Raw genomic sequence first — 12,190 nt, 5'->3', positions numbered from 1 at the left:
TCATTGCATTATACGGGCATAGTGGGTAGAACTATTGTATTCTCTGTGAGCTGCTTTCCAATGAGAAGGTAGGGAGGTAACATTTCTGTACTTGCCTCAGGTTCTTCTTTATATGAGAAATTCTACAACAGACAGTAAATCCTTAGGTTTCATGTCGCTTTTTCATAAAACAATGTGCATACAGAATTCTAGTTAAGCACCTGTTATGAACGGAATCACATTTCTCTAAATTTGTATGTTGAAGCCCTAATTCCCATAGTTACTGGCTAAGTGGAATCATCAGGATGGAGCCTTAGTGATACAGGACTGGTGTCCTAATAAGAAGAGGAAAAAACACCAGAGCTCTCTCTGTCTCTCTCTATGAGCCACAGAGAAAAGACCGTATAAAAACTCAACAAGAAGGTGGTTGTCTGTCAGCAGAAATAAAGCCCTCACCTAATCAGTCAGTACCTTTATTGGGGATTTCTGGCCTCCAGAACTGTGAAAAAATAAATTTCTGTTGTTTAAGCCATCCAATCTATGATGTCTTGCTATGGCAGCCACAGCTCACTCATACAGCACCTGTTGTAAACAGAAAACTAAGTTATAGCAATTCCATTCCAATGTCACTTAGATAAAAACTTTTGAAATACTTATTGTCAGATAAGACATTATGGCTGAAAGATCCCATTGTAATAATTTGCAAGTCCTTGAGAGAAATATTCAGGTACACATTTTTATAGAAGCTACTTATAAGCAAACTTTTCTTTGTACTGCCCTTATAAGTGGCAGTAAGTTTCACCCTTTGAAATGTGCTTAACATCTGATTTCTCAATCACAGGCACTTTTTGGTTATTAAAGAAAAAATATTTCAAAGAACCTAAATATCTAAATAAATATCACATGTATAAAATTTTATGTCTGCTTTTTAATAAAACAAGACATTTAATGCAGCAAATTTATGTTAAAATTTTCTTTTTATTTAAAAATATTGCTGTTATTGTTAACATTTAATTTCAAAGGGAAATTTTGTTGCTGGGATATTTGGAAGACATAGTAGAACCATTAATTTGTGGATTGCTATTACAAAATGTTTACAGAATGTCTCCTTTGCTGATCAGCATCACCCAGTATTTCTTTTAATTTTTCCACTATTCCAATAAATTTATCACACCTAGTTTAGGTTTCCTTAGCAGAATAGACTGTATATAAAGCAGTTGAGCCAGCCAGCTATTTTGATCACGACGTTGTTTTTTTTTTTTTAGGATTATAGTTAATATTTTAAGAGCCAGGCAATGTAACCTTAGCAACTGAAACAGCACTGGACTCAACAGTAACTCAGTGGTAAATGTGGTCAGGAGACAGGAATTTGGTAACTTCAGGAGAGGATGATTTGGGGTTGAGGTTTAGTTTGAGATTTAGTTTCCACCGTGTAAATTCCTGATGGTGGAGATTTTTAGGTCCATATAGCATAGGGCTTATTTTTGTAAGTTGGGGTCATCTGAGTTTGATCTTGCCAGGCCATTCCCTTTGGACTTCACAGAATGAAATTTAAGTGTTGAATTCATTATTTACATACATTTTTTTTTTCACATAAACTTTTGTGGCCTCTCTATATTTAAGAAAAATAGACATCTCTCTGTTTAAGAAAATGGCTTACATTTTAAATATATGTATGTGGCATATAAATACAGCCTATTTTTATTTTTCACATATTTTGGCAATAACTCAGGGAGTATTGTATTTCAGCTATCATAAGCACGTGAAGATTTATGGATATTTTTCTAAATCTTTAATACATCTAAAGAGCAGAGATCATTGATGTTTATGAGGAACAACACGGATATTTCAAAAACTAGATTATCATAAGGATTCCATATTGCTCCAGGACCTTCACACTGCGGCCTTGATTTGCCTTTGGATTGATCTCAGGCCACCTTCACCAGGTTCTCCATTTATAATCACAGCTGAAGACTTGTTGTCTCGGAGGGATGCAGTGCATTTCAAGGTTTTCCAGTCTTTCCTAGTACCGTTCCCTCTGCTAGTAATGCCAACACAACTCACTTCTTCTCATCTGCCATTTTTCATTTGACCAATTCCCATTTGCCCTTTTAAACATTCCTCAAGTTATCAGTGTAGCTGTTTCTGACCCTTCCATGCAGAATTAATTGGCCTGCCACAACACCAAAGACATCTTTTATTATGAATTATTTACTCACCCATCTCTGCCATTAGTGCAAATTTTCTTCAAAGGCAAGGGTTGTGTTTATGCATCTTATGTTTCATCTCGTGTGTTTGGTGCTGAGTCTGGCATGGAGTAAACAATGCATAGATGTTTGGTCACTAGGCCTGTAGTCCTAGATTTGCTAATTCTGCAGTCTAACTTTGAAAGTTTGTAAAAGACACACACACACACACATCATGTATCATATATAGTGAGGTTGTTTTAGGGAGAATCTTTGGGAAATAAAACCCTCATTCCGTGAGTAAGTTGGTGTAAATGGTATGATCTGTTTCATGATTTTGGGAATAAACTCATATCTTTTTAATGTTGGGATCTCATTTATTCCAGCTAGCATGAACCAGAACCAGTCTCTCTCTCGGGTCTTTCGTATGCTATGAATTATTAATGGTATCCAAGGAGCAAATTCTTGAGTCTGCCTCATTTATTGGAGGCCAGAATTCAGATACATGTAGAAATAAAATATTTCTACAAATGGCCCTAGAAAATGGCCAGAGAAAAAGCAGGAGAAATTCCTGTCCTCAATTTTTCACTTTTATTGCAATAACATATACAGAACATAAAATTTACCATTTTTAAAGTGTGTAATTCAGTGGCATTAAGTATTTTCGTATTGTTGTGCAACCAACAGCACTAACTGTATCCAGAAATTTTTCACTATTCCAAACTGAAATTCTGTACCTATTAAATCCTAACTCCTCATTCCCTTCCTTCCCCCAGGCCTTTGTAATCATTTTTATTCTAGTTTCTGTCTCTATGAATTTGACTATTCTACTCATGTCATATAAGCAGAATTACACAATATTTGTTGTTTTGTGTCCAACTTATTTTGCTCAACATAATATCTTCAGAGTTCATCCAGGTTGTAACATGCATCCGAATTTTCTTCCTTTTTTAAGACTGAATGATTTCTATTGTATGTATACAACACATTTTGTTTATCCACTCATCCATTATGGGCATTTGAGTTATTTCTACCTTTTTGGCTATTGTGAATAATGTTGCTATAAATTTTGATGTACAAATATCTGTTTAAGTCCCTGGTTTAAAATCTTTGTAGTGTGTGCCAAAAGTGGAACTACTGGATCATTTAGTAATGCTATGTTTAAGGTTTTGAGAAACCGCTATACGTTTTATCATAGTGACTGCACCATTTTACATTTCCACCGAGAAGGTCTAAGGGTAATAATTTCTCCATATCCTTGCCAACTTGTTATTTTCTGTTTGTTTGTTTGTTTGTTTGTTTTTGTAAATGTTATACTAGCTATCTGAACAGGTATAGGAGGGATTTTTTTTTCCTGCTGCTGCCAGAAAAAAATTACTTTTTGCCAGAAATATTCCTTGCATTAAGGAAGCAAAGAACACCAGCTGGGTGACTGACAGTTTTTAAATAGCTCATTTTAATATAATGTTCTAAAATATAAAATGAGCAGAAATATCTCATGCCTAATGAGATAACCCTTGCTTTGGTCAAAAATTCCTGTGTGGCGGTAGTACATGTCACCTCCTGGTGAAGAGCTCCTGGATGACTTGCTGTGTGCCTTTTCCTATTAGTGGGATGTACCTGATAATAGAGCCCACTGGCCTATGTTCTTTATTAAAGACCACAGGAGCAGAGCCCTAGATGGGCATGTAACGTGAGTGAGAAACAAATCTTTGCTGTTTTAGGCCACTGAGATTTAGAGTTTGTTACCAAAACCTAACCTAGCTTATTCTGGCTGACACAACCCAATAATCCTTTGTGAAATTGATGTTACCATAAATGAGATGTACAAAGGCTATTATCCAAAGAAGAGAATAACGTCAAGAACATATATCAATTCAGAGAGTTTCCATTTTTAATCCAGTGAAAGATAATTTTTAAAAAGTGTGTAAAGTTAGAGTTTGTAGCTTAGAGATTGTATAGATAAATGTACTGCCAAGGAAAGACTGCACTGCACTATACCGATGGAAACTTTATTTGGATACTTATACTATATAAAGTAGCATATTTCACCATAGAGGGTTCATCTTTAGAAAACCTGTTTTATTTTAGGTATCCCTTTAGCCTATTTACTAATTAGATGGCATTGCTACATTAAATATAATTTCTCTTTATGTCTCTACAAATGTATTTATTTATCTTTGTCACTTAGCAAGTTCTTCATTCATTCATCTTCTTATTCATTTATAAATTCATTCAATAATGATGTTTAATGCCTAGTGGATGTATTCTGTTTGGTACTGGAGGTGAAGGGGTGTGTGTGTGTGTGTGTGTGTGTGTGTGTGTGTGTGTGTGTCTGTGTTTGTGACAGTTATACTGGTTAATGGGTATTGAGACAATATTACATTGTCCCCATCCTCAAAAACTTTGCAGTCTAGTGTATATATAGTCACAATGACCTTCAAGTACTGGAATTACCAAATTATAGTGGTAGAACAACATTTTTCGGTAGAATAATAGTCATTTGGACACTAACTAGTGACAACTTCAAGCCTGTGTAATTCAACTGGAAAAGATCAATCCTGTCCCAGAAGAATGTGCTGTTTTACTCAATGAGCAGGAAAGATGGTTGTGAAGACATGGATGCATCCCAGTACCTGGAAAGTTCTCTTAGAATGGGGGACTCAGTTCAGAGAGGGAGTAGATATTACTTAAAGACACATAAAGAGGCGTTTTTTCCAATAAACAGTCCACATGAAGCAAAAACTTCCTTCTCTGACAAAAGTCAAATCATCTACAGTCATGTTCCATATAACCACGTTTCAGCCAATGACAGACTGCACATACAATGGTGGTCCCATGATAATATAATGATGTTAAAAAATTCCTGTTTCCCTGTGACATTGTAGTCATTGTAATGGCATGGTTTAATACATTACTCATTTGTTTGTGGCGGTGCTGGTGTGAACACACCTGCTATGCTGCCAGTCATATAAAAGTACCTGATAATAATAAATGAGTATGTTACTGATTTATGTATTTACTATACTATATATTTTATCATTATTTTAGAGGTTATTCCTTCTACTTATAAAAATTAATTGTAAAACAGCCTCAGGCAGGTCCTTCAGGAGGAATTCCGGAAGAAAGCATTGTCTTCATATATATTGATGATCGTGATCCTGTATAGGCCGAGGCTAACGTGTGTGTTTATGTCTTAATTTTTAACAAAAAAGTTTGAAAAGAAAAAAATCAAAAGTAAAAATAGAATGAGCTTCTAGAATAAGAAGATAAAGAACAAAACACATTCACAACTGTACATTGTATTTGTGTTTTAAGCTAACTGTTATTACAAAAGAGTCAAAAAAAGTTTTAAAAAGTTTATAAAGGTAAAAATTTACCGTAAGTGCAGGTTAATGCATCATTAGAGAAATTTTTAAAGTAAATGTAGTGTAGCCTAAATGTACAGTGATTATAAAATCTACAATAGTGTACAGTAATGTCCTAGGCCTCACAGTCGCTCACCATTCACTCACTCAGAACATCATCCAGTCTTGCAAGCTCCGTTCATGGTAAGTGCCACATGCAGGTGCACATTTTTCATCTTGTATTTTTCTTGTACCTTTTCTATTTTTAGATATGTTTAGCTACAAAAGTACTGACCATTGTGTTACAATTGCCTACAGTATTCAGTACAGTAACATGCTGTGTCTGTTTGCAGCTTAGGAGCAACAGGCTATACCATGTATCCTAAGTGTGTAGTAGGCTATACCACCCAGGTTTCTGTAAGTATACTCTGTGATGCTCATACAATGACAAAATCACCTAGTGACTCCTTTCTCAGAACATATCCCCGTCGTCAAGCCAGGTATTACCGTATATAACTCCTTAATCTCTTCCCATCTGGCTTTAACTGCTACTGCTCCGCTGTAACTCTTGTTCAGGGACCTCCAAGATATTCTGACCTTAGATCATCAAATTATTTTCCATATTGGAACATATTACCATTTCCGTATTACAACATACTTCCATATTATGACACTATTGGCCCTGGAATCTGTCATGAAATTCTCCTGTCTTCCTTTTCCATTTTTTCCTCATCATTATTCGTGGAAGTTTTTCCAGAATATTAGCCTTTGGCCTCCTTCTCTTTTCTTCATTGTTCTCTCATTTGTTACTGCACCTACTCTTAAAACTTTATCTTTCATTTCAAGTAAATAACTTTTTTTTTCTTTTCAACTTTTATTTTAGGTGCAGGGGATGCATGTGCAGGTTTGTAACATGGGTAAATTGTGTGTCATGGGGGTTTGGTGTACAGATTATTTCATCATTCAGGAGATGAGCATAGTACCTGTTGGTAGTTTTTCTAACCTCAACTTTTTCCTACCCTCCACTCTCAAGCAGGCCTTGATGTCTATTGTGTGTGCCCTGTTTTGTGTTTCATGTGTACTCCATGATTAGCTCCCACTTATAAGTGAGAACATGCAGTATTTGGTTTTCTGTTCCTGCACCAATTTGCTTGGGATAATGGCCTCCATTTCCATCCACATTGCTGCAAAGTACACAATTTCATTCTTTTTTTATGGCTTCCTAGTAGTCCATAGTGTATCTGTACCACATCTTCTTTATCTAGTCCACTGTTGATGGGCATCTAGGTTGACTCCATGTCTCTGCTATTATGAATAGTGCTGCAATGAACATACATGTGCATGTGCCTTTATGGTAGAATGATTTATATTCTTTTGGGTATTTACCCAGTAATGAGATTTTTGGGTTGAATGGTAGTTCTGTTTCAAGTTCTTTGAGATATCTCCAAACTGCTTCCCACAGTGGCTGAACTAATTTACATTCCCACCTGCAGTGTATAAGCTCTCTCTTTTCTCTGCGGCCTCACCAGAATGTTATTTTCTACTTAGTAATAGTCATTCCGACTGGTGTAAGATGGTATCTCATTGTGGTTTTGGTTTACATTTATCTAATGATGAGTGACATTGAACATTTTCTCATATGCTTGTTGATGGTGTATATATCTTCATTTGAGAAACGTCTGTTCATATCCTCTGCCCATTTTTTATTTTTTTGGTTTGTTTTGTTTCTTTGCTTGCTTATTTGTTTATGTCCCTTGTAGATTCTGGCTGTTAGACCTTAGTTAGATACATATTTTGCAAATATTTTCTCCCATTCTGTAGGTTGCCTGTTTACTCTGTTGATAGTTGATTTTTTCTATGCAGAAGGTCCATAATTACGTCCCATTTGTCAATTTTTGTTTTTGTTTCAATTGTTTTTGGAATCTCCATCAATACCTGTATTAATTATTCCTTTCCAAATTCCATTTCTCTGATTGCAACTATCTGGTGAATGTCTCCTTCTACATATTATTTAAATGTTTCAAAGTTAAATGTTTTAAAAAGAAAAATTGTTTTGCTTATTTCTCTCACAATTTTTTACCAGTTCCCTCAGGCTACAAGCCTCCAAGTCATGTCTTCACGGTTAAGACCATAATATAGGTTAGACATACCTGAATTAAAATGTCAACTTTACTCTGGAAGCTGTGAAACCTTAAATAGTTTACTAACATCTGTAAGGATCTATTTTCTCATCTATATACTAGGATAATAATAGCAACTTCCTGTCCAGGATATTTATATAAAATAACTAATTCATGTAGAACACAATTTGTAGAGGTAGATACAGGGTAAGTGCTACAAATTGGTAGTTTTTATTAATATTTAATATTATCCTCATATTTAAAATCAGAAACTAAGTACATTTACTTCTACCTTTAAAATAGGTCTTACATGAATTCTTTACTTTCCATTCCCTCTTAACCACTTTTATTTCAACTCATATTACTTCCCTTGCTTGTATACCATGGAAGAGTGGGCATTTTATTCAGGCCTTAACACCTGGACAGAGATAATCAGAAAAGGGGATAGAAAGCATTTTAGTTGACAGAAACCACTGAGGCAGGAAAATGAGCATTGTCTTCAATGACAAGCAAAGACTAGACTTTCTCTGGAACATGGAGTTTATGTAGAGGATGTTTATAATGATTGAGTTCAATGTGCCTTCTTCCATGGGCAAGAGGACAGGAGAATCTGATTGATAACAGAAGGGTCATCTGCAAATCTGTGCTTCATGAATATTAAGAGAATCTGGTTTTAGAATATGACAGAACAGAATAAGGAGATATTGGAGAGAAGGGCTAGGAGGCTGCTGGAATTACACAGTTGAAAAATGATGCCTTTCGGTCATGAAGAGAAATCCCAGAAAGCAAACTAACAATTCTGGAGAAGCCAGACTCTATTCCAGAGATTGTTTTCCAGTCTCTATAGGAAGGAAGAAAAGACTATGCTCGATTGAGAGAATCTGGATTATAGTAAAGGTGCCGAAAGTAGGAACCTGAGTATGGAAGAACATGGCAGGATTGCAGTTACTAGAGCCAGATTCCCACATGAGCCAGGACAAAGGAGGAACTCAAGCTGTTAGAATTATGTTCATGAAATCTCCAGTATTTACGCAGAATGTTCTTTTCTTGAGACAGGATCTCGCTGTGTCACCCAGGCTGGAGTGCACTCCCACGATCATAGCTCGCTGCAGCATCAACGTCCTTGGCTCAAGTGATCCTCTCTCATCAGCCTCCTAAGTAGCTGGGACTACAGGTGCACACTGCTATACCAGGCTTGTTTTTTAAAACACGATTTGTACAAATGTGCTCTTGCTTTGTTGCCCAGGCTGGTATTGAACTCCTGGCTTCAAGTGATCCTCCTGCCTCAGCCTCCCAAAGTGCTGGGATTATAAGCATGAGCCACTGTGCCCAGCTTCAGAATGTTCTTATATGCATATGTGCATATGAATTTTCTGGGGACCATGTCCATAGCGTTTATCAAACCCCAAGAGGCCCCTAAACAACAACAAAAAATATTTAAGACTTGCTACATTAGACTGTAAGCTTTATGATGACTAAGACCATCTTATTCTGGTACAGCACTTCGTCTGCTGTGTGTGAGCCACATCTGTTTTAATGACCATTTTATTGATTGAATGAATGGATTAATACATGAGGGAATAAATGAATGTCTTTACTCTTAATGCTTTCCTTGAGGAAAGACACTTGAACTTCAGACCACGTATTTTTTGAGTATTTTATATTTACAACTAGTCATGTAATATTGTCGAACCGAAGAAATTCTCCTGAATAGAATAAAAGCTCTCAATGCTCACTTTCTGTGTTGGCTTGGGCCCTCTGAGATGTAGATGCCAAGACATATTAAGTGTGCGAGAGATTTATTAAAAGAGATTTATCACCAAATAATAACAGTAAATAGTGATCGAGATTTAGACAACTCCTGCGAATGACAACAGGAGAAGGAGAAAGAGTTAGAAGGTAGAGCCTTTGGACTGCCATGCTGTTCTCACACCAGAGAAACGAGAGAGGAAGAAAGTAAGATTGGGTAAGAGGAGCCTCCGATTGCAATAAAGTTCTGAGAAAGGCTCCACAAGTCTAATTTGGAGTCTTTGAGTCAAAGTTACAAATGTTTCCACTTCAGAAACAAATGGGGCAGCACTAGCAGCCTGCTATACTCAGTCATTAGCTGGGAGCAGCCAGGAGGATGTGAGGCCTTGAAGTGAATGATCAAAGTGCCCATACATGGAAGCTGTCATTCAACTATGCTACTCAAAGTAGGCTCTCTTGAAGAGAGTTCTGAGAACACACCTCCATACCTGCTGTATTTTGTACCAGGAAAATTTTACAGATCATAGTTGATATATGAACTTTCCACTAAGCTTTTACTGGATGTTTGTGCTGGATGAAAACCAGAATTTCAGGAGTGTTCCTGAGAATAGCAGTCACACAGTGATTATATGGATCAAGATTGCTTAAAGGACTATAAGACTTGTGCAAACCAGGCTGAGGAAATAAACAACATTGTCTGTTTATTATGGGCTATATTTTTGTGAGGGGACAATGAATAAGACTGACTGTCTGATAAGTGTCTGTGCAAATAATTATTTGCTTTCTGATGGATTCTAAAAATCTGAAATGGCATGAGAATTGATATTCAAATTTAAATGACCTTCATCTCTTGGAGACAACAAACCAGTGTTTAAGTAGCCACCTAAGACGATGTAGTCTGTATTGTGGGGACTACTCTGCCTCCAGTCATCTATGGTAAGATTCTGAACACAAAAATGTGAAGTGGCTCGGTGCAGTGGCTCACACCAGTAATCCCAGTGACTCAAGAGGCTGAGGTGGGAGGATCACTTGAGTCCAGAGCTTCCGGGCTGCAGTGAGCTATGATTATGCTGCTGCATTCCAGCCTGGGCGGCACAGCAAGAGCCTATCTCTAATAAGTAAGTAAATAAATAAAGTGCATTTAGAACATATTTAAGATATAGCATTTACAAGAAAAGCTTAACTCAAAGATCAACTGGGATCAACTTCTTCTTCAATGCAATAGATATATATTTCATGGAATTTTGGAGTGGGAAATGACGTGAAAAATTTTCCAGTTTTGACCTGTAGACTGAGACCATTTGGAAATGATTCTCTCCCTCTACATATTCCAACTGAAAACCAAAACTATTGACCCTTTCTCTTGCTCTCCTTACATTATTCTATATCCCTGGGATCTGGAACATAGAATTTAGACTGTACCATTCATTTTGTAAAAGCTGACTTTAAAAGTTTTGATATCTGGATAAAGTAAACAAGAGGTAGAAAGGAGAATTAGTATGACTGCTTCAAATCAGGTTCCTGTACTTTCAATTCAGAGTTTATTTTCCAGCATACTTTCTCCACACAGTCAAAATTACTAGAGCAAGAGAAAATCTCATAATTAGGGGAAAAAGAAATTGCATAAAGGTAAATGTGTGAGTCTATGTCTGAACTTGGCTAATGAGTTCACATTTGTGAAACCAAGAACACAGATATTTCCCCAAAATAATGTTTTAAGCAGAATGAGTTTAGCAAAATGAACATAATCTATCCATTTCCCCCAAAGAAATGTTGCAACAAGGTTTACAATTAATTGAGCTTTTCTTCAATGGGTCTATAAAAGTGTATGTAGTTTATAACCTGTGAATTTCTCAACCTTTGTAAGTATTGCATTCTCAGGAAATATCAGTAATGCTTTAGTAGCTATAGACATTATTTTCTTCCTTGTCTTTCTACACAATAGATATGCCATACTTCAACTGGAATGGAGTCATCATTTCAAACAATGAAAATAGATACAAAATCATATAGAACCAGTTCAGGTAAAAATATTCTGAGGAAGGGGTTATATGGAAGTGCCATATGCTCAGAGGGCCATATACATTGAATCAATTGCCTTCTGAAAGAATTTCTCCTTAGTCAAAAATAGCAGTCCTTTGGGTTTAGTTTTAACCTTCTTGGATAAAATAATGTGTTCAATGGAATATCAATCTCTTTTGATCATTGACACAAAAGGAACATTGGTGTAGCCTTTCTGTCAATCTTCTCTCAGTAGTTCAAGTGGTTACTCCAGAAAAATAATTCCAAAATGCCTGTAACATTTACTCTACCTTTTCCATCCTATTAACATGATGGATGCCTTACTTTGCACTACTATAACCAAATAACACAGAGTGAGAAATGTATAAAGAAAAGAAATTTATTTCTCACAGTTTTGTATGCTGGGAAGTCCGAGATCAAGGGGCCAGCATGTGGCGAAGGCTGCTCTTCGCTTTCAAGGTGATGCCTTGATGCAGCATCCTCCTGCCGGGAGGAAAGCTGGGTCCTTGTGTGGTGGGAGGCAGAAGGATAAAAAGGGGTGAACTCTGTCTGCCCAGCTTTTGTTGTAGGGGCACCTAATCCCTTTCATGATGGCAGAGACCTCATGACCCAATCACCTCCCAAAGACCACACCTCTAAATACAATCACTTTGAAAACACCCGAATTGTGAAAGGTACTTATTCAAACCATAGCATTGAAATTATATTTTCCCACTGAAACACAGACTACTCTTTTCAGTAAATTCTGTTCAGGACCCAGTTGCTGAGTGGAAAATGATGTGCTTGA

General features: G+C 36.5%; 1 long non-coding RNA gene across 2 annotated transcripts in view; it reads right to left on the bottom strand.

The window, feature by feature from the left end:
- Window positions 1-438: 438 nt before the first annotated feature.
- Window positions 439-12,190, bottom strand: part of LOC105374511 (uncharacterized) — a 482,145-nt gene continuing 470,393 nt past the window's right edge. For both annotated transcript variants that reach the window (NR_188379.1, NR_188378.1), the window contains 2 exons: window positions 2,199-2,286; window positions 439-561 (listed from right to left, as the gene is read on the bottom strand). This is a non-coding gene — a long non-coding RNA (uncharacterized LOC105374511). The remainder of the gene's footprint in view (window positions 562-2,198; window positions 2,287-12,190) is intronic.

The sequence above is a fragment of the Homo sapiens genome, chromosome 4, assembly GCF_000001405.40.
Source record: "Homo sapiens chromosome 4, GRCh38.p14 Primary Assembly".
In the NCBI taxonomy this organism is placed as follows: Eukaryota; Metazoa; Chordata; class Mammalia; order Primates; family Hominidae; genus Homo; species Homo sapiens.
This window is presented reverse-complemented; position numbering and strand designations above follow the sequence as displayed.